Source organism: Homo sapiens, chromosome 7, assembly GCF_000001405.40.
Source record: "Homo sapiens chromosome 7, GRCh38.p14 Primary Assembly".
Taxonomy (NCBI): domain Eukaryota; kingdom Metazoa; phylum Chordata; class Mammalia; order Primates; family Hominidae; genus Homo; species Homo sapiens.
In genome coordinates this window covers 82420679-82445301 of record NC_000007.14, presented here as the reverse complement: position 1 = coordinate 82445301, position 24623 = coordinate 82420679, and the positions used below count along the sequence as shown (strand labels likewise).

At 38.4% G+C, this 24623-nt stretch overlaps 1 protein-coding gene across 15 annotated transcripts in view, besides 1 other annotated feature; it reads left to right on the top strand.

Annotated features, from left to right (window-relative positions):
- CACNA2D1 (calcium voltage-gated channel auxiliary subunit alpha2delta 1) overlaps window positions 1346–24623 on the top strand; it is a 497513-nt gene continuing 474235 nt past the window's right edge. For 13 of the 15 annotated variants that reach the window (XR_001744873.3, XM_005250574.4, XM_005250572.4 and 10 more), the window contains exon 1: window positions 1346–1937. Coding sequence is in view for 14 of the 15 variants with exons in the window: in XM_005250574.4 (XP_005250631.1) it covers window positions 1843–1937 (95 nt within the window). In the remaining variant the exon portion in view is untranslated. The remainder of the gene's footprint in view (window positions 1938–24623) is intronic. The other 2 variants (NM_000722.4, NM_001302890.2) reach the window with 1 other exon arrangement.
- Window positions 2520–3083: an enhancer, noted in NCBI's record as "OCT4-NANOG-H3K27ac hESC enhancer chr7:82071535-82072098 (GRCh37/hg19 assembly coordinates)". NCBI's record gives its function as "activates a minimal SCP1, AML or CMV promoter by ChIP-STARR-seq in naive H9 embryonic stem cells {active_cell/tissue: H9 hESC(naive)}" and the evidence as "EXISTENCE:reporter gene assay evidence [ECO:0000049][PMID:30033119]".

The window sequence follows — 24623 nt, the reverse complement described above, 5'->3', positions numbered from 1 at the left end:
AAGGAAAAATAAATTCACCAGGCTAAGCATCATAAAATCACACACGCTCTTAAAATTTGGCCAGTAATTAATAGTAGTAGTATTATTATTAGTCTTTGTTTTGGGAGATTGCCTTCAGAGAGCTGGAAAATTCATTTCGAATTAATAAGGGTCTTTTTCTTTCAGAAGCATCTCCTAAAAATAAGAACGGGCTAATTAAAAATCTGACAGCCACCCCGATACTTACAGAATTTTTGCATATGCAGGATAGTCATCACAAATTGTATTCTCTGCACGTCATGTCAAAAGTATTCTCATACACTACTAGAGGGAGCTTAAGAATTTAAGGTGTGCAAGAATATATTTCTATCTTTGGCCCACCAGGGCCCTCTTGTAGGAGGCCTGTGTTGGGCGGGAGAGGCCTAGTCGCAGACCCTGTCTTTTCAAGGAGAAAGCCCGCCACTGCTTCCTCTGAGTCTGGAGATAAAACCAGTCCGGCATTGCTACTCCCTAGCTCTCTCCCCCTCCCTTAATTCCTCCTCTACATTTCAGGCGCATTTCTCAGAGTGCCACCTGTTCCTGCTGCTTACCCTTTTCATGCCTTCGCATTGACAAAAGTGAGCTCACCCTGCGGTAACCTTGTCAGGCAGGGCAGGCCAGTGGCCAGAGCAGGGCGTTAGGACCCTTTTGGAGGTAGTCCCAACTGGGATGCTGCAAAGCGCTTCTCTTACTACTGTCCTCCCTAGATGCAGAATTCGTCCCTCCACCCCTCTGTCCAATGGAACCACAGGGCTGGGAAGATTTTACAGCGTCAGTACTTCTCTGTCCGTCCACAGCCCGGTCCCTGAGGCTCTGTCCTCGCCAGGTGAGCCGAGCAGTACCTGGGCGTGGGACCGCTGGCACAAAGGGCACCCAGCCCCGGCAGAGGCTCTAACCTATGGCACACGCGGGCATATAGTGCCACCTGGTAGAGAGTCAACAGTGGTGCTTTAAAATGCAATACAAACCCCTCCTACATTTGTTGTCAAATCACTTCACGATTCCCAGGCAGGCACTGGATTCTGCGCCTGGGAGTAGGGCTGGGGGGGAACGCTGCCTGCATGTGCAAAAATAACCCCCGAAGACGCGAGCCAAGTCCTGGGTTGGAGCCTCTGCAGCCTGTGGATGCCCGCTGGGCGGCTGGCCGTCCCCCGGGAGCCCCGCGGGGCTGGTCCGCTCCGCCTGCGCACGCCGGGCGGCGGGAGCGAGCCGGCGCCGACTTTGGGAGTTCCTGGCTGCCTTGTATGGAGGGCTGCTCCCGGCCCGTCTCCGCCCGACTGCTCTGACGCCCAGCCCTCCCGCTGCCCACCCCCAGCCGCCTCCCTCTGACTTGCCTAAGAAGCCAGACGGAGCCTCTCGCTTCCACAAGTCTCTCTGCCTGCCATTCCCCGATTCCTGCAGCCACCCCCACCCTCCAGCGCCGTCACCCCTCCTCCGCCCCCGCCCCCGCCTCCGCCTTCGCCTCGGCAATCGGGGGAATAAATCAGGGAGGAAACCGAGAGGGAGAGCGAGAGCGCGCGAGCGCCGGCGGGCTCGCCGAGGTCTGTTTCCAAAGTCGCCCTTGATGGCGGCGGAGGCAAGGCGGCCGCGGCGCGGAGCAGCCGACGCACGCTAGTGGGTCCGCCCGCCACCGCCCCTTCCTCGGCGTCCGCTCCCGCCCTTGCCGTCCCCCGCGCGGCTCCGCGCCTCGGGCCCCGGGCGCAGCCAGCCCTCCAGACGCCCGCGGTCCCGGCGGCGTGTGCTGCTCTTCCTCCGCCCGCGGTTTCCAGCGCCGCTCCTTCCCCCGCTTGGGCAGGGAGGGGGCATTGATCTTCGATCGCGAAGATGGCTGCTGGCTGCCTGCTGGCCTTGACTCTGACACTTTTCCAATCTTTGCTCATCGGCCCCTCGTCGGAGGAGCCGTTCCCTTCGGCCGTCACGTAAGTCGGCGGGCCGGGCAGGGAGCGCCGGCCGAGGGGCGCCGCGGGAGTTGGGGGTGGGGGTCGGTTCCCGAGTCGCGGGGCTTTTCCGCCCGTGGGGGTGGGGAGCGAGCGGCCGGGGAGCCAGGCTCGGATGCGGAGACGCCGGGCAGGCGGTGCGCGCCGCTCGCCGCTGGAATGCGTCCCGAACCGGCGTCTCGGGCGCCTCCACGGGGCCGGGCACTGGGGGCCGACTGTCCCGGGAAGCGCCCGCCGACGACTCGCGGCGTCTCAGCCCGTCTCTAACGGGATTCTCTAGACTTCAGAGTGCAGCCGTACTGGGGAAAAAAGTTTCCAGCCAGCTCACCCGCTCTGATTCAACCCAGTTCAATAAAAAGTTATGTTTTGGTTGGGTAATTTACAAACAGGTAATTTCAGGCTTGCCGAGGTAGCGTGGACTTCCCCCGCACTTGGCCTCGGAGATGCTCTTTAATTGCTGTAGTGCCCAAACTCGTTTTATCCCACGTTACTGGATGCACTTGACAGCCTTCCGATTAGACGCGTGCTGGCTCCCCGCGGCCGAGCGTGCTGTCCACGCAGGGGGCTCGCAGGTACTGGGACCACGCGATCCAACCTCCCCAACCCATTATTTGAAACATCTAAGTGTCGGCAGACACGCGGTCCCTGTTCTTCAAATGAATAGAGCCTATTCTTTGAAGGAGGGACTATTTCCAGTCTCCTACAAATTTTCTTTTATTTTTACCATTTCTAAAATAACTTTTAAAAACCTCGCTGCTGTTCTGGAAATAGAGGGCTTATAGGTAGCTATAGTCACACCACAGGAAGGGAATGAAAAATAATAATTCTCTCCTTTCTTAGCAAAATAGAATCAAACTCAATGGCACATATAAATATATACATATTTTTTAATGCACCGAATAGCCTATCCGGCATTCTGGGAAAGCATTTATTTTGGTTCTTGGAGCTTCTTTAAAGCTTCTAAAGGTAGGTAATCTTAAGTGGATGAGTCACTTTAATGCATTTTACATAACAAAAACAAAGCCCAAGGTAGCTTTCCCGGTATTTATGCTGCTGGGAATTACTTGCTGTCCTTTGTTGGCTGAGTGCTGAATACAGGAGTTTTTGGTGGAAAGTAACAGTGAATCTTTAGCGGTTGAAATCCTGCGGCTATTATTTAAGATTCAGTTTTAAGTATTTATTACCTTAGGTGTCAGTGCAAGAATCTGGAGGATGCACATTCTATCCCGGAGAAGGGGAGTGTCTAATTTTTGTTGTCATTGAGTTACAGTAATGTTCCTCTTTAGATAATCTTCCATAAAACTGATTGCAGATCCTTTTTGTTATGAAGCAAAAGGGTAAATGCCATCTGGAGATCTTCGTTTAATTGGCAGGATGTTCCAGTCAGATATTTTTAAACATAAAAAGAGTAAGAATCACCCTAAGGATGCTTCAGAATTATTTACTCTTATTAAGGCATCACACTTCCATTTAATTTTTTAAGTCTGTTTGTTGCTTGGCCTGTAAAGTGAGAACTCAAATGAGTCGCTTGCATTCTGTGTCAAATAAATAAGTGGCTCTTTAAAAAACAATCACTTCCTAAATGTGTTCCGATTACTCATTTTTACAGTGTTGTTTTTAACTGACAATTTATCAATATTTTTATCATGGGAGGGGATACATCATCATACCATTGGGGAAAACTACAACAAAATACAACCTTTTATTCCTCAACATACTGTGGTAAAATATTAATGTAAAAATCCTTATTGTTAAGAAGAACATCTGCAATAATGCTTTCCTAAAATTATAAGTAAATCAATTTTCATGGTCAGAAATTTACTAGACACAAGAAAGAGTATATATAGTGGGTTAAAATGGGAAGTAGGACATCACAATTTCTTTTCTTTGGAAGGATCTGAAATTTTTTTTAACGATGAAAATTCAAGATATTTTCAAATTATATAAGACATTGATTATTTAATGAATGAAATACTTAATAAAAGGTTTTGTGGAGCGAAGTCAATCTCCTGTAGGTAATCTTAACAATATTTTTGGAAGCCTTCTGCATCTTCAGTTTTTCATTTGAAAAGTTAGTAACACTGTCTTCTGAGGAAAGAACTGATGGTTGACATTTGTACTTCATGTTAGATTTCTGAATAAACTTTATGAAATTAAAAAATGCAATATTTTTCATAAAGATGTGCCATTTGCTTTTCTTTCGAGAAAAGAATTCATATGCACTGTTTAATCAGGACAAATCTCAAATCTTTGGGGGAAAATTTCAAATTTATAAAAACTGAGTGCAAAGACTGTAGTGTCAATAAAGGCAAATTATTATGCTTCTGTATGTAAATTTCTCTCGGAATCATTAGTAAATATTTTTGGGTTTTTTTTTTTGCCAGTTTCATTTTTCACAGAAAAAGTAATGTAAGAAGTTTTTATCAGCTGAAGAGGAAGAGCATGCCATCACACACTATAAAATTAATTATGCACTAATTGGAGTTGGACTTCAATTAGAATTAGTAGTTCAAAGTTTTTTTTTAAAAATATAGAGTGTTTACATTTGTGTGAAGGGCTTAAATTCTATTATGGTAAAACAAATGATGTGTCAGTTAAGTATCTTCTTTCATTTTTTGCTCTCCTGTTTAACATACATTCTAATATAAATTTTCTTTTGGATTAAAGTAGTAGTTAACCTGTTCTAAGAGTTAACACTAAAATAGATGTTTTTCAGACAAGGAAATTTTGATATGATTATTTCTCTGGGTTAGGTGTTTCTTTTGGAAATGTTTGTCTCCCTAAGGTGTGAAACATAAATACATGATATGGTAGCAGCCACATAATGTGTATTGGTTGATATATAAATGGAAAATATATCATTTTTATGCTATAGTATGCACATGTCGTATTGGTATTTTTAAAATGTAGCTTTCAAAAAGGGTAGTTGTCCGTTTTTCTAGAAATAATTTCTTGTCACATGTTAAAAGACTTCTATTTTAATATTTAGAATTACATGTGTGATAGCCAGTATTATAATGGTAATTTAAATTTGTCCTTAATTTTAGAATCTATTTACAAATGCAATTAAAAAATATATAGTTATAACTGTTAATATCAAACTTTTATCTCAGTCACATCAAAATGCCAGTCAGTCTACAATAATTGGCTGAGAGCCTATTGGTATACAGGGATTTTAATATAAAGTGTACAATGGTATAAATATAAAACTAAGAATTGTGGATATCCACAGGAAATAAGCATAAATTCTCATAGAAGTATAGTACTTTTGGCTTTAATTACTTAGGATATTTTTTTTTCCTGTTATTAGAGAAATTTGTATTTAAGGCTATAAAGGAGAAATTTTGTATGTCAGGATATTGTAATGGATATCTGTTCCATGCATTATAAGTGACATAATTATTCTCACTTGAAGTCAGCAGTTTCTGTTTACATTTTACATACACAAGGAAATGTGCCATATGATCAATTATGAGATAAAATATTAAATGTAAAATAAAACCTGAAACAGTGAACATTAATAAACTTTTCTCAAGTCTTTAATTTTGTTCTCATCGGCTTAACCATATAACATTTACTATTCCACAGATGTATGTTTTAAAATATGCAACAATAGATATATTTTTCCACGTAAGTAGTAATATTATGTTAAATTTATTAATGTTACACATAGCTATATGTGTAGCTATTTGGATTGGCATTTGAATGAAAATTAAGCAGACTGAAATGGATATAATTTTTGAAAAAAATGTAAGAAAATACAAGAATCTAAGCATATTATGGTTTATTAAAGGGAAATGAAATGTGCCTTTATTATCTCCCCCTCCCATGGCTTTCATTAATTTAATTTAATAAATATACATAAAATTTGAATATAAAGTAGGTGGTTCATTTTGACAATAGATAAGAGCTTTACAGTTGTTTTCTTCACAACAAACTGACTGTGTAGACATCTTTCTGTTATTTCTCCAACATTGATAAAACTAACAATAAAATACTCTTCTTTCTAGGGTTTACACATAGTAAATTTTTACAAAAACATAACATATGGAAATTATTATTGTGCTAAAATTTAGTATATATAGGAGTATATATTCATAAACAATAATGCATTGAGAAATTTTACAAATAATTTTTACAATAGTGCTCATAACAAACTATATAATTTACATATTCTCTGGAGTATCATTATATAAAGCACCTCTTAAGGTTTCTCTTGATTTCCCTATTTCTCAATATAGATGCAAGTTTCCAAGAATTTCCTAGCACATGTCTTCAAGCTATTTATAACTTTAAATTGGAGATTTAAATGGGTAAAATGAAACATATCTTAGGCAAATCATGCAATTTGTTGATCTCATTTAATGTCTTATATGTATGGACATAAGCATTTCTAACGTAAGTATACATAACATTTTGGGAAAAAAATCAGAATTTCAGTATTTCAAAAAAGTAACATTTTATTGTTATTAAAATGACAACGGTCCATTATTTCTATTAAAAGAGCTGTCTGTGGTAGTGTTTCAAAAAGCAGGTCAGCTGCTTTCCATGGGGAACAAACTTTGTTCTATTATATCGCCTCCACATTTACTTAAGGCTTACAGTGTGCATCAAGCACTGTGTCACTAACTGTGTCAACCAGTCTTTCTTTTCATGAACTATCTGTGAGCAGTACCACGACTGTTCCCAAGGCTTTCATACAGTTGCTTTCCAGTAAACTAGGAATGGGCTGTGATGGCCAACCATGTAGCTTACACAGGATTCATTTTTTTGTATGTGCACTGAAACATGTAAACGATTGCGTAGTGTTGTTTACAGAGTTGAAAGAAAAAGGCAATTGACCTCAATGTCAATTAAGTAAAAGTGGCAGCACTTTGTGAAAAAATACTATGTTACTACCTTTTCCTTGAGAGTCCAAAATATTAACATCGTATAATTAGATAACTTTCCTAGTTTGTGTCACTATATAGTATTCTATTTAATAGATAGTATTTTATGTATATGCAAATACACATATATACGTGTGTATGTCCATACATATTTTTAAAACTTTAAGTGGATTGACAGAGTAGAAAAACCTCAGTAAGGTAAGTTTATTAACAAGTGTGCATACCTTAGGTCTTCTGTCAGTCCACAACTGTTTTCAGGGATTAAATCTAACTTAATAACACCAGCATTTAAGAATGATTTGCCAAGACAATTAAATGAGATATTGCATACACAAGCAGCCTGAAAATGCTCAAGTCCTATAGAGACGGGTTACTAACATAATTGACAAGTAATTAAAAAAGTGATTCTAAAGACAGTTTTGCTGTCTTTTAAACAAGTGTGAGAAAGAAACTATACCATTTGAAATGTTGGCACCTATTAAAAGTTCTTTACATACTAAGCAGTTTTATTTCTTTCATTTAGATAAGATATACTTTGAAATTTAGAATTAAACATATTTGGTGGTGTGATATTTTAGGAATGAAGGCAAATGTGCACAGGTTTAAAATTTTTATTTGTAAAATATAAGCTCTTAAATATCCCTTCTTTGTAGGCTTTACATCTTTTGTAGTAATTCAGTACATAGAATCAGCTACTCTTAGCAGTTTTTAAAAATGAGTAAAGAAAGCGGTCATTGCTCCTTTATATTTTGCCACTTGTTTGTACAGGTTATGAACGAGGAAAAGATTGACTTTGTGGCCTCAACAAACCGGCACACTTTTTATAGTTAATTTCAATAATTCAGAATTAGGCTGTTATATATAAAGCAATATTTGAAGTTCTCTTTGAATATGAATGTGGGATATTTCTGGCTAAATGTTATTTTAACATTTGCTTCTGCTGATTTTTTTTAACCATATGCTCTGTGGATTTAAAAAATTAGGATACATTTAAAATTCTGTATCATAAATGGAAGAAAAACTTGAACTGGTGGCAGTAGAAAATAATGGTGCTGGCCATTTTAAATGCTTCAGATTTGGGGATAATCTTACTGTCTATTTGAAGCTCTTTTTTTCTGTGTAATTAAAAATACGCTATGGTGGTCTTCTGGCAAATGATGGAAAGCAATTCCAATGTTATTTTATTCAAATAATAAATTCTGGTTTCTCTCTCTTTCATACACATGCATATAATTACTATTAACCATAACATTATTATTTGTATATAACATCAAATCAAATGAAAAATTTTAAAATGTGTTTCTCTTAAGTTACCCATGATCAGACCTCAATTTCAGGTCCTTTTCACTTCAATCTGTGCTCCCTGTTTCAGATTTCCTGTTATCACCAGACATTTCTCTCTAAGAGAAATTGTTGAGGGATTTTGATATACAGATAAACCTGTAATATGTAATCAACACATACCAAAGTTGTCAAGCAAGTCTAGAGAATTGTTTCTTTTGATATTTGCCCAATACCTTAGGGATAATTAGGGAAAAGAGGGGAAAGAGCTAATAAAATTTTTCTAAGGTGCATACTGTCAAACTATGTGAAGGGATGGTTAAATATTAATAATGCCATATTTTGAGAGTTACAAGAGGGATGGTGCAATGAAATAAATGGGCTCAGGCAGACTGCAAAAATCTCTTGTTTTTAAAAAGTGAGCAACAGGCATTGTGGTGAAAATACTCTGAGGAGTGATGGATGTGTAAGTGGGGCAGAGAGAAGAGCCCTCAGATTTATGAGGTGCAAAATTACATTAAAGATACTAAAGGTAGCAGTTGGTTATTTTTCTTAATGCTTCTGTTTTCTTCATTTCCCATATGAGCTTGGTTATATTGGAAATGCTGCTTCCTAAACATAATAATCATTTTTAGAGACTTAAATATTCACATTTGGAAATTCACCTTAGAGACCAAAGACAATAAAATTATCTAGATCTCAGAACATAAGTACTTAAAAATTCTTAGTTTTTATGAAATTCTGGGAAATGGTTTATTGGATAAGAAACACTAGTATAACATTTAATTAAGAGCTTAAGTGCTAATCAACAAGAAAGAAATTCTGTTAGAAAATTTTTTTCATTAGATTACAAGAAAGAAATAACTTGCAGGTAAGCAGCCTTCTAGGTAGTATACTTAAAACTAGGCTTCTAAATAAATAGTACATTTTATTTTTGAAGTTGTTTTAATTTATATTGCCTTTTTAAATATTTCTTGTTTCAAATATTTTTTAACACCAAATATAATTTAATTCAACAATTAACGTGATGATGATTATTATTCAGTGCAAATTACGTACTGCGCTGAGCTACATGTTGAGAATACAAACTGAGGGAAGAGAGTCCCTAAGGAAAACATTAGCAACTCCAAGCTGACTATGGAACACTGGGATACATCAGAGCATGACCAAGGAAAAAGTACATTGCATACTGAAGGGGCATGGTCTAAAGAAACGTGGTCTGTTCTTTGTTAGGCATTGGACTTGTCAATTGGAAGTGATGTTGGTAGCTATTGGCTTAAGTCTGGTTATAAATTTCTTGCATCCTGACCCAAGGAGGGGATGAGCAGTGCTCATATTACATCGACATTTGCAATAGCCCTGTTTGGTGTACCAACACAAATTTGGTCTTCTATCCTGTGTTGCTGTTGAGATTTTTAAATTAAAAAAAAAAAGTAATAGGTTTGAATCATAATATGTAGAAGATGGATTAAGGCGGGCCAGTATATTAGGCAGAGGCAATGAGACTAGTTAGTATACCATTGCAGCATTCACTGAACCAGAGATGATGCCCGAGGTTTCAAAAAGATTAGTGGCAGTGAGAAGGTGAAGCAGGTATGAAGTAGAAGTACAATTTCAGGACTTGGTGGTTGTGAGATTTGGGGAATCAGGAAAGGAAGAAGAATTGGAGATGACTTTTAGATCTCTAACATGTAGATCATGTGTCATTAAATTTTGTAGGCTAGAGAACACAGGAGGAATGCAGGTTGATGTTGTGAGAGTGGGAGTAGGTTGATCGTTGGACATTTGGAGTTTGCAGTGTCTTTTAGATGTCTGTTAGGCCCTTAGAAATATGTATCTGGGCCGGGCATGGTGGCTCACACCTGTAATCCCAGCACTTTGGGAGGCCGAGGTGGGCAGATCATGAGGTCAGGAGAGATCGAGACAATCCTGGCTAACACGGTGAAACCCCATCTCTACTAAAAATACAAAAAATTAGCCGGGTGTGATGGCATGCGCCTGTAGTCCCAGCTGCTGAGGAGGCTGAGGCAGGGGAATCACTTGAACCCGGGAGGCGGATGTTGCAGTGAGCCAAGATTGTGCCACTGCATTCCAGCCTGGGTGACAGAGTGAGACTCCGTCTCAAAAAAAAAAAAAAAAAAAAAAAGTATCTGAAGAGAGTTTGGAGACAAATTCAGAGAGCAATACTTTTGAAGGCAGAAGAAGGATTTTTTTCATTTATTTAACTCATATTTATCTATAATCTACTAAGATAGACACTGAGTTTCAAAAGAAGGGCCTTGATTTACAGTTTCATTTTGTGGAGAGGTCAAACTAGATGACCCCTTAAAGGAAGTCATCAGGCCACTGATGAAAGAAAGAAGTCTAAGTAGCGTGTCAGGGACAGAAGCATGGTTTCAGTGGCTTGAGGAGTTGGTCAAGTTGAGAATATGGAGACAAGTGCAGATTGTTTCTTCCAGGAATTCGGTGACATGAGGAAAGTGAGAGATAATAGAGTAAATTCAGAGGAAGACATTATCCTTAGCAAACTAACACAGGAACAGAAAACCAAATACTGCATGTTCTCACTTATAAAGTGGAACAACATAATGAGAACACGTGGACACATAGAGGGGATCAACACACACTGGGACCTTTCAGAGGGTGGAGAGTGGGAGGAGTGAGAGGATCAGAAAAAATAACTAATGAGTACTTAATTAAGTACTTAATTAATAACTAATTAAGTAGACTTAATGCCTGGCTGATGAAATCATCTGTACAACAAACCCCTATGACACAAGTTTACCTATGTTACATACCTCCACTTTTACCCCTCAACTTAAAAATAAAAGTTAAGAAAAAACAATAAATAGTAAGTTAATATTAGGCCGTTTGGGATTGTAGATTGTACAAAACCATAGGACTATCTTAAACCAAAAAGAGAAATATTTTTAAATGGTAGTGGAGCTGGATGATCCATCATGGGAGTTCAGGTCAAGGATGTTCCAACAACTGCAGAAAAAGGTGAGACTGCTATCATGATAATCTCTCAAGTCATTTTCTGCTTTTCTTTGTGTCACTTCTTTCTTCTCTTTCTCTATAAATTGGCATTATCTGCCTCCAGTGCTCATGGTGTTGAATGGTTGCGAGGGATTATGCTTTCTCCTTTGAAGCCTTGAACCAGCTTGAGTGTAGAATTCTAGTCCTAAAGATAACCTCCCAAAGAAGATGTGTTGACAGTCTGAATGTGGGCCAGATGGCCACTTACAGTCCATTTAATTGTGACCAGGAGATGGGATTTGGAAAAGAGACTCTGGTTGCCTGAGCTTGGGTTAGTTCACCATATCTGGTCCAGTCTTCTTAGGAGGTATTACATGGTAAAAGGCCAGTTGCTATTACCCTGGATAGGGGAAGAGCCGATTCTCAGAAAAAGGCTCTGGTGAGAAGGGTGGGGAAGGTGTGGAAGGCTGTACAGACAACTAAATAGTGTTACCAGAAGGGAGATTCCAGTATCTCAGAGGGAGAAGACCAAATGTCAGAGAGATGAAAGCAATGAGATGCCATGATTGATGGATGAATGTTCTGATAGAGGCAGGTGAGGAAGGGATCAAGACTAAACACAATGTCTTACAAAGTAACTTTTGAAATATGAAACAGCCTTGAGAATTAAAGCAGATGGTTGGAATACAGGATAGATATAATTTTAATTTACTGGAGATGTTTTTAGAGGAATGATTTAAATTACATATTCCATTCTCAAGAAGGAATGACATAATTCAGAAATGTAATACATACACATTAGTAATATTCAAATTTTGAGAGGAATGGACTAGAGTTTTTCTTTCAGTGGTAGTAACAAGACTCCAGTTTGCCACTATATTACCTTTGGACACAGCAACATTTGGTTCTCACTTGTCTTTATTTTTCATTTACTTCTTTCCTAGGAGAGATTATCATCTTAAAGATTCATGTAGTTTTATAACATGTCGTTAGAATTTTTTTTTTTTTTTGAGATGGAGTCTCACTGTGTCACTCAGGCTGGAGTGCAGTGGTGTGATCTCAGCTCACTGCAATCTCTGCCTTCCGGCTTCAAGTGATTTTTTTGTCTCAGCCTCCTGAGTAGCTGGGACTACAGGCGCACGCCACCACACCCGGCTAACTTTTTTGTATATTTAGTAGAGATGGGGCTTCACCATATTGGTCAGGCTGGTCTCGAACTCCTGACCTCAAGCAATCCACCTGCCTTGGCCTCCCAAAGTGCTAGGATTACAGGCGTGAGCCGCGACACCCAGCCGATGTCATTAGATTTTAAGTGTGTGGTGCTTGTGGTAGAAAGATCTTCCAGTAATATCATTGAAAAAGAAACAGATAAAAGAACAAATAGTTCTTTCCTTTGGCAATTGAGCATTACTTATTCATTAATTTTAAGCAGATAGTAGTGGTTTACTGCCCCACTCTATTGGTGCTTCCTGCCCCCAGTAGAAGGGAGAAGTTTTGGTCGAAACAGATCCTTGTCAAGAAAAGAAAACAGTAAACTCTAGAAGATTAAAAAACCACTGGAATTTGGGCGAGGGCTCGCTTGTAGGCTCAGCTGTTGGGGAGGCTGAGGCAGGAAGATCGCTTGAGCCCAGGAGTTCAAATCTTGCCTGGGCAACATAGGCTCATCTCTAAACAAATAAACAAACAAAAAACTGACAGAATATCCCTGCAAAGCATATCCTTGGTTAAACCTCACTGAGGCATCCCAGGTCTCTTGAAGGTCTGGAAATTACTGGCACTTGCCATCACGGCAGTTCCTGAGTTTCCAAGATGAATGAATGAATGGTTAGGATTGCAAATGCCAGTGGATCTAAGAATCAGTCTTCATCTCATTGGTACCATTGCAGTGTGGAAAAACCATGCTTGCGGTTTGTGGCAAGAGATAAGAAGAGTTAGGGTGGGCTATTTATTTCCCTTTTGTGACTTTGCTCTTTTTTCTCTCCCATAGATATTCACAGTTTGAACTAATTTTGGTGTCTCCACCTGCAGTGTCTGAACAGTAATAATTACTAACAATCATTCTTCAATTACAATAATATTGTTTTCTGACATTTTTGAGCTCCTTCTGTATGCCAGGCACTATTAATTAGTACTCTCCAATTTTTTTTTTTTTTTTTTTTTAAGACAGAGTCTTGTTCTGTTGCCCAGGCTGGAGTGGAGTGGCGTGATCTCGGCTCACTGCAACCTCCACCTCCTGGGTTCAAGTGATTCTCCTGCCTCAGCCTCCCTAGTAGCTGGGATTACAGGTGCGTGCCACCATGCCCGGCTAATTTTTGTATTTTTAGTAGAGATAGGGTTTCACCATGTTGGCCAGGCTGGTCTCCAACACCTGACCTCAGTAATCCACCCACCTCAACCTCCAAAGTGCTGGGGTTACAGGCGTGAGCCACTGCGCCTGGCCTCATGTTTTTTAATCCATCTAACCTTCAAGGCAATCCTCGGAGATAAGTATTATTATTATCTTTGTTTTGTAAATGCGGGAACAAGTTTAGGGTATGAAGAACTTTTTTGAATTTCCTTAGGAGTTCAGATTTGATCTCAAGCAGCTCAATTCTAGATTCCTACACTTACCTGCTGAACTTTGCTGCCCTTTGCAGAAGCTTTGAGGTCTTAGCATCTATTATCTCGCCTGGCTGCATATTCCAGCAATAAGATTGAGAGAGAGGAGTCATGTAAAGTAGAACATAACTAACTCTCAGCCTTGATTTCTCCATCTGTAGAACAAAGATAGTATTTTTGCTTCCTGCATCCAATGTTATCGTGAGGATTAAATGAAAGAATGCGTGGGGAACTTTGAAGGACTGTTTAATAGCCAGGCTTCATTATGTGTGCCTTATGTGGTTTTTCTGCCTTTAAGAGATCACGAATTGATGACTATGGATTAGTGAGCTAGATTATTGTGCTAATATATAACCATTTGGGCCATGAGAAAAACTTAAAATGAATGGAAAAAGGGATGCTTAGCAGGTCTTAAAAATGTCTCCTCCTAAAACCTGTGCAGTCTTTCATCATAAAAGGGAAAGGGAAAGAGATGCGGTGGAGTGTAAGTGGAATAGGGTGGGTGAACTGTTCCATCCCTAGGTTAAGGACAAAACCAGTGTCCTAAAAGAGACCGTGAAGAAAGCAGAACCACAAAGCATTTGATGTGCTTTGTTGTGACATTTCAGTCAGCACCTGTTGTAGGAGAACTGTGCCACAGAGAGTGAATCTATTTTTAAAAGTCATAGCTTTACCACCAATATCCTCTCATTGTCAAAGATGTGAGTTTTTAGCCCCAAAACAGAATATCTGAAAGTTAATAATGCAATCTATCCAGGATGTTTATAGAAATGATTCCAGACTACCCTACAAATTGAGCAAGTGCAGGATAGTAAAATCAAGACCAGTTGCGTTTTTCGCAACCAATACAGAAGTTGGCAAAAATCTGCCAAGAGCGTACTGAAAAAGGCCAGCGTTTACTTGACTCATCCAGCTGATGGTTAGTTACACTCATCTAACTCCAGCCCTTCACTTTGCAATATAAATGGAGTTGAGCCTCTCATAAACACTGTTCTCTTGTTGGTAGAAATCAAACACTGAAATAAAATTTCTGGTGCAAATTTGGAGTTGATTTATGGATAAAAGATGTTTTAGATTAACCAATACATTAATACCATGACTAATGATTAATGATTACAACTTGATGATAACCATTGAAGCAGCAAGCTTTCAATGCCAGGAATCTGGTTTTTTTTTTTTTTTGAGATGGAGTCTGTCTCTATCACCCAGGCTGGAGTGCAACTGCCTGATCTTAGCTCACTGCAACCTCCGCCTCCTGGGTTCAAGCAATTCTCCTGCCTCAGCCTCCTGAGTAGCTGGGATTACAGGTGCCAACCACCATGCCTGGCTAATTTTTTTATATTCTGAGTAGAGACGGGGTTCACCATATTGGCCAGGCTGGTCTCGGGCTCCTGACCTCAGGTGATCTGCCTGCCTCGGCTTCCCAAAGTGTTAGGATTACTACAGGTGTGAGCCACTGCGCCCAGCCAACATGGCCTTTTTATAGCAGTCATTTTGACATTTGCCATAGAAAAGAATGTGTAAAATTTTTATGAAGTTTGTCACTTTAAAAATACCACCCTGTCTTTGTCATGACATTTTATTAGAATTGACTTAAATTTACATCTGCAAAAATGTTGGGGGACTTAAACAAATGGGCCATATGAAGCCTCAGGAAGATGGGCACAATGGAGGCTGTGCAGACTGCTCTAAATTAAACATATTAGCTGCTTGGCTGTCAGTCCAAACACCTGATTTTCCTGTCGATATAAGTGTAGAAATTGGCATTAATTTTTATGAGGCAAAATTTTATTGTGAATGGGTAGCTTAGTTCCCAGAGGATTGATACATGGGTGTCAAGGTCTATTGGTGAGTAATTGTTTAAAATTTATATTTTTGCTCGATGGTAATGAATAAACATAGGGGAATGGTAACTCATCACAGACCAAATCATGCGTGATAATTATATGAGGTCATTCATCTCCTTAACTTATCAGATGTGACACAACCTGTCTGTGTGGCATCTAAAGGCCAGCTGAGTCCCGGCTGTACATGACTGTGACAGAGGAGCCATTTGAAGGTTGCAAGTCTTGGATTTGGTCCTACCGCTTTTGGGTTTTTCCACATGTGAAGTAAATTGGCTCCTGGACTCTATTCTTGTAATATGCACAGGGAGCCAAAACCTGGGGTCAGCAGGCTACTCAGAATCGATTTTTTTTTCCTTCTTCCTTCTGTTGCCTCTATATATCTACCCTAATTGCAGAGAAACACATACATCAGTCACATACACAGATATGTACATATTTATATGATGTGTGCATACATATAATACACATTACACAATAAACATCAAATATATATTATAATGATTTATATCAAGTGAAAGTTATAAGATATGAAGAAAATATACATGCAGATTCAGATATGCTACATGTACATAGAATATATACATTTAGAAAACATTATAAAACCTGAAAATGCTTTGTAGTATCCAGAAATGCCATCATCCATGGAAAAGATTGTAAATTTATTAGGAGTAACTGAAACATCAAAGTGGATGTGATATATAACTGCTGATTATTTTACTTTTTTGTCCAGTCGGAATCCTGTGATCCTACTCTTTCACATCTTCAAACCCACAGTGGTTCTGTATTGCTCTACTAACTCCCAAAAATTGCTAAGTTGATAGATACTTAAGTAAAGCCAGAACCATATGAGTCTATGCTATGGTAGTTCAGAGGACTCAAGGTAGGCAATCTGGTATGGTGGGAATATTCAGGATTTTGAGTCAGAGAATCCCAAGGTTGAACCCTGCTTCTGGTATAGCCTGTGTGATCTTGGAAAGTTAATTTTCTTTCAGTTTCATTTCATATTCTGTAAAAGAGTATCACATACCGGACCTTTTAGGGGAAATGGTAAGGCTTAAATGAGAGGCCATCAAGTACTTGTCTATGTATATTCCACTGAATTTATTGAGCAAAGGGTGAAAAGTGTTAGTTCTTTCATCTTTTCTGATTCTAATGTGGAGCCATGAGAACTAGACATTTTTCTTGATTTTCTAATCTACTCCTGGAGGCATCTATGGAGATTAGTAAAGACTACTGTTTTCTCTTATGCTTTTCACATTTATCTGATTAGAACACTAGGGGAAAATCTCTGGAATGGGAGTGGGAAAGGGAGGTCCAAGTCATAAAATAAATAAATAAAATGCAACAGATGGTTCCTTGCTTATCGTCCTGAGGTTATGTTTAAGATTTTTTATGCTTGTGTCATGGCTTTTGTCTGAAGCTGAAGATGGCTGTTTGCTCCATATCCTTTCTGTTCACTAAATCAGTACAGATTCCTGTCAAGTTACACAGGTCTCCTATAATTTAAATGGATTTAGATGTTGGATCTATGCTGAATATCATTAAAGCTTCATTCTTGTATGTGACTATCAAGTAATTACAATTCTAAAAAGTGATCATATATGGTGTGGTTGCAGCCTTTCTGTTTTTTGTTTGTTTTTTTTTTATTTATTTTTTATTTTTTTAAAGACAAGATCTTGCTCTGTTGTCCATGCCTAGCTAGTTTTAAAAAAATATTTTGGAGAGACGGAGTCTTGGTATCTCACTATGTTGGCCAGGCTCGTCTCAAACTCCTGACCTCAGGTGATCCTCCTGCTTCAGCCTCCCAAAGTGCTGGGAATACAGGCGTGAGCCATTGCATCTGGCCTTGGGTTGCTGCCTTTCTAATCAGGTTTCCTCATCTGAAACAGAGGACAGATATTCATTTGAGTGACTTTTTAATTCTCCTCAAAATGGTTCATAACTAGTACCATATTAATGGCATAGAAGAGAAGTCATTGCATTAAAAAATTGATGCTTTTGAACATCAGAGTTTAATTATTTCATGGAACTTGCATGGTTGGTTAAAAGTGCAGATTCAAAGCTCAGCTCTACAACTAGCTGGGTAACTTGAACAAGTCAACCTTCCCATTGATAAAACTTCATAGGGTTCTTGTAAGGATTAAAAATATTCATGTAAAACACTGCATGTAGAAAGCACTGAACAAATATACTCTGATTAGAAGCAGGATAACAGTCTAATCAGGTGACATGGGTTCCTGTTTGCTTCCACCATTAACTAGATGTAAGACCTACCTTCGTAACATCTTGTAAGGAAGAATTTCTGGCTTTAGCACTATCCAACACATAATTGCTCACCTCCTATTTCTTAAAAACTTGGTTTTAGTTGTTACAGAATTGTCATTCATGTATCTATTGACCATAAATTAGATCTTTCTTGGTACTTGAGCACTCCCATGCTTGTGGTTATGCTCCTGAAAAGTTTATTTTCCCACTGTTTTAAGTTTCTCCTTTCTGAAAGCAAAAATCATGAAGTTTGATGTTTTCCTCTCTTTTAAACATTTTGCTACCATCCAAATTGTGCTAAGGCATAGTATGGCACCAAGCTTCTTTTTGTATCTGATTGAAGGACTTATCAAGTACAGATAAGTTCCCCCTTATCCACTAGGGACACATTTCCAGACCCCCCAGTGGATGCCTGAAACTGCGTATATTACTGATTAAAAATATATACTATGTTTTTGCCTATGTATACATTACCTATGATACAGTTTATAAATTAGGCACAGAAAGGTGATTAAAACAACTAATAAAATGGAACAGTTATAACAATACACTGTAATAAAAGTTGTGTGGAGGTGGTCTCTCTCCCTCTCTAATTCTGTAGCACTTTTGGACTTTGGTCGACTGCGGGTAACTGAAACCCCAGAAAGAGAGAGAGCAAAACCTTGAATAAGGGTAGGGGGGTATATTGTAGTATATAATGAAGTCATTGACCTTTCAGAAAAATTGGCCTTGTGTGCAGAAAAATAATTTTAGTGGCCCATTGTCCCTGATGATTTTAGTTCTGTGAAAGAGGCCCTAGGTGTTCTCCCTTGACAATATTAGTTCTAGTAATCTTTGCAAACGGAAAATTGTAACGTTAAAGATACATAAGCAATAATTACCATACTACTTGTAATATAGAATGGCACTTTTTTTTCCTGCTAAGATGAGCAACACACATATCATCATGGTTTACCTTGAGTAATAAATGTATATTATGAAATATTTTCAGAAAAGTAAAAATCAATTACATTATGCTGTTTAAAGTATCAATTCTAATTTTTCAAGAATTTGTATCTGAGCTCATAAGGCATTTTAAAGTATAGAAGAGGGGTGTGTGCAGTCTTTTATGTGCGGCCGTTTATTGTGCCAGTTGATGAGTTTTCCTCCTAGTGTAGAGGCATGAATAAATGAGAAGAGTTAGAAATACATGTTAGATCCTCAACGTGGATACAAAAAAGATGTGAATCAGATTATACAGAGGAAATCAAAGACTGATGACTAATTTAAGGTTCAGTGAATCTAAACAAACCAAATAGAATTTATGTATTTATTTATTTATTTATTTATTTATTTATTTATTTATTTATATATTTTTGAAGCAGAGTCTCGCTCTGTCACCCAGGCTGGAGTGCAGTGGTGCAATCTTGGCTCATTGCAGCCTCCGCCTCCCAGGTTTGAGTGGATTCTCGTGCCTCAGCCTCCCTACTAGCTGGGATTACAGGCATGTGCCACCATGCTCGGCTAATTTTTGTATTTTTAGTAAGAGACGGGGTTTCGCCATCTTGGCTAGGCTGGTTTTGAACTCCCGACCTCAGGTGATCCACCTGCCTCAGCCTCCCAAATTGCAGGGATTACAGGAGTGAGCCACCACGCCCAGCCCCAAACAGAATCTTCATAAAGGCATTTTATGCAAAGATAAAATGAATCCTGGGTTGGGCGCGGTGGCTCACACTTGTAATCCCAGCAATTTGGGAGGCTGAGGCGGGAGGATGAGTTTGAGACCTCCCTTTACTGAAAATTAAATAATTGTCTGGGTGTGCTGGCATGCACCTATTAGTCCCAGCTATGCGGGTGAGAGGATCACTTGAGCCTGAACGTTGGGGCTGCAGTGAGCTATGATCCAGCAGCCGCACTCCAGCCTCGGCAACAGAGCAAGACTCTGTCTCTTAAAAAAAAAAAAAAAAATTGAATCTCATGTTTAAAATTTGGTAATGTAAATTTATTTATTTATTTATTTTGGTTTGGTATTTTCTATTCTGTGTAGCATACTGCCACAAACTGAATGGTTTAAAACAATATACATTTATTATCTAACAGTTTCAATGCTGAGGAGTCGTGGTGGCCCCTTGTTCAGTCTCACAAGGCTGCAGTAAGGTGTTGCCTGGACTGCATTCCCGTATGGGGCTACTTCCTGCTCCTCTTTCAAAATCGTGTGGTTGTTGAGGCCCTATTAAAGGTCCTCTTACAACATGGCAGTTTATTTCTTGTAGACTAGAGGGAAACTCTCTTCATTCAGAAAGGGGGCTCAATACCCCTTTGAAGGGCATTCAGCTGATTAAGTTAGATCATTCATTATACTCCCTTTTTTGATTCATTGAAAATCAAGTGATGTGAGATCGGAATTCCATCTGCAGAATCGTGTTACCTTTACCACATAACGTCACATAATTAAGGGAGTGACATCCCTTCATATCATGGTCCCCACTCACACTCAAGGAGAATGGGTTCTGCAGGAGTGGGAATTATGAGAATCATCTCAGAATCCTGCCTACCACAAGTGTTATATTAGACAGCAATCACAAATACACCAAAAACTAAAAGATGTGAATGCTCATTTCTTTCCTACTTTACGTGCTCACAGATTTGGGAAATGCTGTGAAGCATCAGATGACCCATCACTCTTTTGCCTTCAGGCAAACTGTGTTGGGTCACATTAGTTCTGATCCATCCTATAAGGAAAGTAAACTCCAGTAGCTCATTAACTAGTCATTAAGGGTGCTGTCATCATTAGTTAGCTGAACTTTTCACTTTCTGCAAAGAAGAATTCTCTTTGCTATGGTTTAAGCCAATTTATACCATTATTGTCAATAAATATGTAGAAAAATTATAAAACAATTCTTTTGAAATGTAAAGGATTATGATCCTTCCAAATTAAGGTTTATACTTGGGTCTTTCCTGAAAAATATCCATTTATTTGCCTGCATAAACTAGCCAATACTCTACAGTCCTAAACAACATCTGATTTTTCATTTGAATCAGTATGTAATGGTAATGTCCTCTAACGCCCCAGTTATAAAGTATTAATGATTTCTTCATTTCAGTGAGTAGATTTAGGTGAATAGCTATGAGTTCTGTTTTTCAAAGAAAAAAATAACGATGACGTGCTTTTTAATACTGCTTATGTACTGGGTGCTCAGTAAATTTCCTTTAAAAAGTAGGTCCTTCATATACTCCATACAGGTGCTTCCCTGCTCAGCCTGTGCATGTCCTAAGTCATTTTATTTTCAGAGTGCTGCTGGTTGTCTGATTTGTTCAGGATTTTTCTTGTTATAAGTCTAGCAATAATTAATTTGCTAGCACCAGGGAACACTGGTCAGAGTAAGTGTCTAATTTAGTGCTTTTCACACTAACTGTGCTAAAGGGGTAGGGCTGATTTATTTATTTTGTAAATTTTATATCCATTGCAAAGGTATATTTTTGTGAAATGGAATGAAAATCAATTAATAGAAAAATGAAATTTAAAAAGATATACATATTATAAACCTTCTTTTACTTAAATTCCACAGCCATAAAATTACTCTTTCCAAACTGTTTTAAAAGTGTGTAAACACTCCCAGTTTGTGCACTTTTCTTGTGGACTGGTAGACACAGTTCCCAGATTAGCAGCCTCAGAGTAGCATAATCTGAATAGCTCTAGTTTACTTTGAGTATTTAGGACATAACTAAATTACCGTTTTCAGTTTGAAAATGGCGTTACAAAAACTACAATAGAAGATTTTCACATTAAATGATTTTACATGAAAGTGATAGGCTCTACTTTAACACTTACTTTCTATTTTAGCTATGGATCGCAATGGCCTTTTCCTCAAAGTAATCGTAATGCTTTGGTTTGAAGGAAGCCTGCTATTTGACGAGGAACTACAAGCTCTGTAGTTCCTTGCCAGAATTTTGTTGCTCATAAGCAAATTTGGCTTTTAATGTGTTCTCTTTAGAACATTTACTATTTGCCATGAATTCAAACACTTGCTTTCAGCAAACCAACTATTTTGATACTGCAGTGAAAAGGAGGACTGCATACTCTTTGTTCATAGTTTCAGTAAATCAGCTAATCTGAAGGTAGCTATTCCCTTTTGATGGCTTCTGAGATTATTTGTATATAGTCAAGAAGCAGATGTATGTAAAATTGTTAATCCACAAAGATTTTATTTCCAAGAATGAAGATAAAAACATTAATGCATGCCTGGGGCAGGTTGAGTTCTCTCTACGTTAAAGAAAGTGTATATATATGTATATATATATATCTGTTTAAAATATATTTGGCCTATGGGGCTGAGGCTATATAAAAGTCTCCATTGATAACTCAGATCTCAGAGTGTCTGCGAAAGTACAAAAGTATAAATAATTCTCCCTGTATTGAAACACATCCAGAATTAAACAATATATTCTTGCAAAAGGCAATTAAAAGTTTTCAAGGAATGGAGTGTGTCATTTAAGTTTGGTTCAGATGTTCAGTTAGCAAATAGTGAGAATTGCAGAGCTTTTTCATTTTGTGGACCTTAGTTTCTTTCCAGGCATCTGTGCACACTGGAATTAAAATGCATGGAAATTTTTTTTTTTTCTTGACAAAGCATCTTTTGCTTATTTTCTGTTCTATTGGAGATTTTTCTGACAGCCTGTTGCCAATGATGTTCTGTGTTGCACGTAGGATTTTACCTAATGAAACCAAGGCATAAATTATATCAAAAGACTAGTACAAGGTTATCTATTTTTTTAAATGCCTTTCCATGCAGTCCTTACTACATTATATCTGTCACTATACACTTCTTCCGGAACAGCTGTCTCAAGAACTTCTATGGAGTTTTTCCAGACTGTTGAGATAAACTAGTTTCCTAGAAAATCAGAGTTATGTGTTTCAAGACTCTCTTGAGGGGTCCTTATTCTGCTTTCCAGTAGGTCACTTAAAACGAATTGAATTGAACTAGATCTTTTTACAAAGATGCTGCATCTCCCAGATAATAGTTACAATGTCAGGTCAAGAAGAATACCAATATAAATAGTGCTAGACATACTCTTGCTAAACTTCCTAGAGTAGCTTTTCCCTTTTAAGTGATTTTCTGGATAAAGCTCACAACAAATACGTTATTGATAAATTTCCTTATAAATAACATCATGGAGGTTATTCATCAAGGATGAAAATCTTCAAGAAAGAGAATTCAGAGGCCATGATTCTAAGAGATAGCTGCTGAAATCTTACCAATAGAAATTGTCCAACACCTTGGTGACCATTATAGTTAATTATTGCAGTAAGATATTAATTATTATTACATTTTATGTGCACATCATTTAATGTATCTTGGCAAGATGACCCTTAAACATGAATATTTTAATTACTTTATTTGCCATTTGGGTAAAAATATGGGATGGGCATTTAAAGCCAGATGTTGCCTCATAAACCTCACATTTAAAAATTAAGTATTCTCTTCTTTGTGAACAGCTTCACTTAGGGGATGGTTAGGCCTTTTCTCAAGGATCCATGGAATAAAAGACGAAGTATGTTTAAGGAATATAAATGGATGAAACCACCAAAACATTTATTGCATCATGGGAAATTTTTGGAGACCAGAATTGTTGATTCCAAATTATCTGTAAGATCATTCTGTAGACTTCAGATAGTCCTGAAATAAGATTCTGTGTGTTTCTCTTTATCTTCCCTGACCATCCTCATTTGCAATGAGATGGTGAATTAAGGCGCATCTGTGGTCTGATGAGTTCTGAGCAAGCCCTGTATGGAGGTAAGCACCTTGAAAGGGATATAAGCATTCTTCATAGTGCAGGAGGCAATCATCAACTGTGATGAAATGTGGCTTTGTATTCATCTGCCTCTCTTTCCCTGCCCTTCTCCCATGATGTTTATTCTTTTTTGGAGTATCAGTGCCCAAACGCTCTTCCTTGATTGATCAAATTCAAATTCTTGTTTTTATGTATCACCCATGATTTGAGCCCTCTCCCCTCTAAAATTCAAAGGAACCCTTCTGTCTCAAACCATTGGATAAGCAGAATCTTCCTAGTGATGTCATTTTAAAGAGAGTTTATTAGCACAGATAAATCTCTGCTGTGTAGACCATTTAAATGCAGACTGTATTTTTTAAAAGGTAATTATTTCGTAGTTCTGTTCTGACTTGTGATTGCTACTGTCAAACACTGTTTCAGAAGAGGAGCTTCTGGGATATCTGCTTCTGAAAGTTTGCTTACCAATGTCTTGGCATAAAGTCATGGAGCAGGTTTTGAAAGAATGCTTCCTGAGGTTTTCCCCTTTCTAACATCAGAAACTGTCTCCTTAGAACATTAGATTCTGTTATAAAACAAAGTCATCATTTTAAATAGAGATCAGTGGTGCATAATAAAGTAGTTCTGATAAGCTGAGCATGGTCAGGAAAAAACTGCCCTGTATGTTGTATTTTGTAATAATAAAGCACAAGGGCTTTTTAATAAAATTGTAGATACCTGAATACCCGTGTGTTAGATTGAGGGATGGAACATTAGGATAAGAAGAATAAAGATGTTTTGAAGGATATGGACTTGAAGAAGTGTAAAAGATGGTTATGTGTTATCCATAAAGGACTAAATAATAACAACCAATGTTAGAGAAAGGTGTGGCCTTATTTTTTTTTTTTTCCTGCTCGCTATGATTTTTCTATTTTTTGTCATTCTGAATTGAAGGTCAAAAATTTGATCCACGTAAAACATAATACAAATTTATCACAGGCAAGTACTCTGCAAAGTTGTTGTTTATAAATAATGCGGCAAGGACTTCAAAACATTTAAAG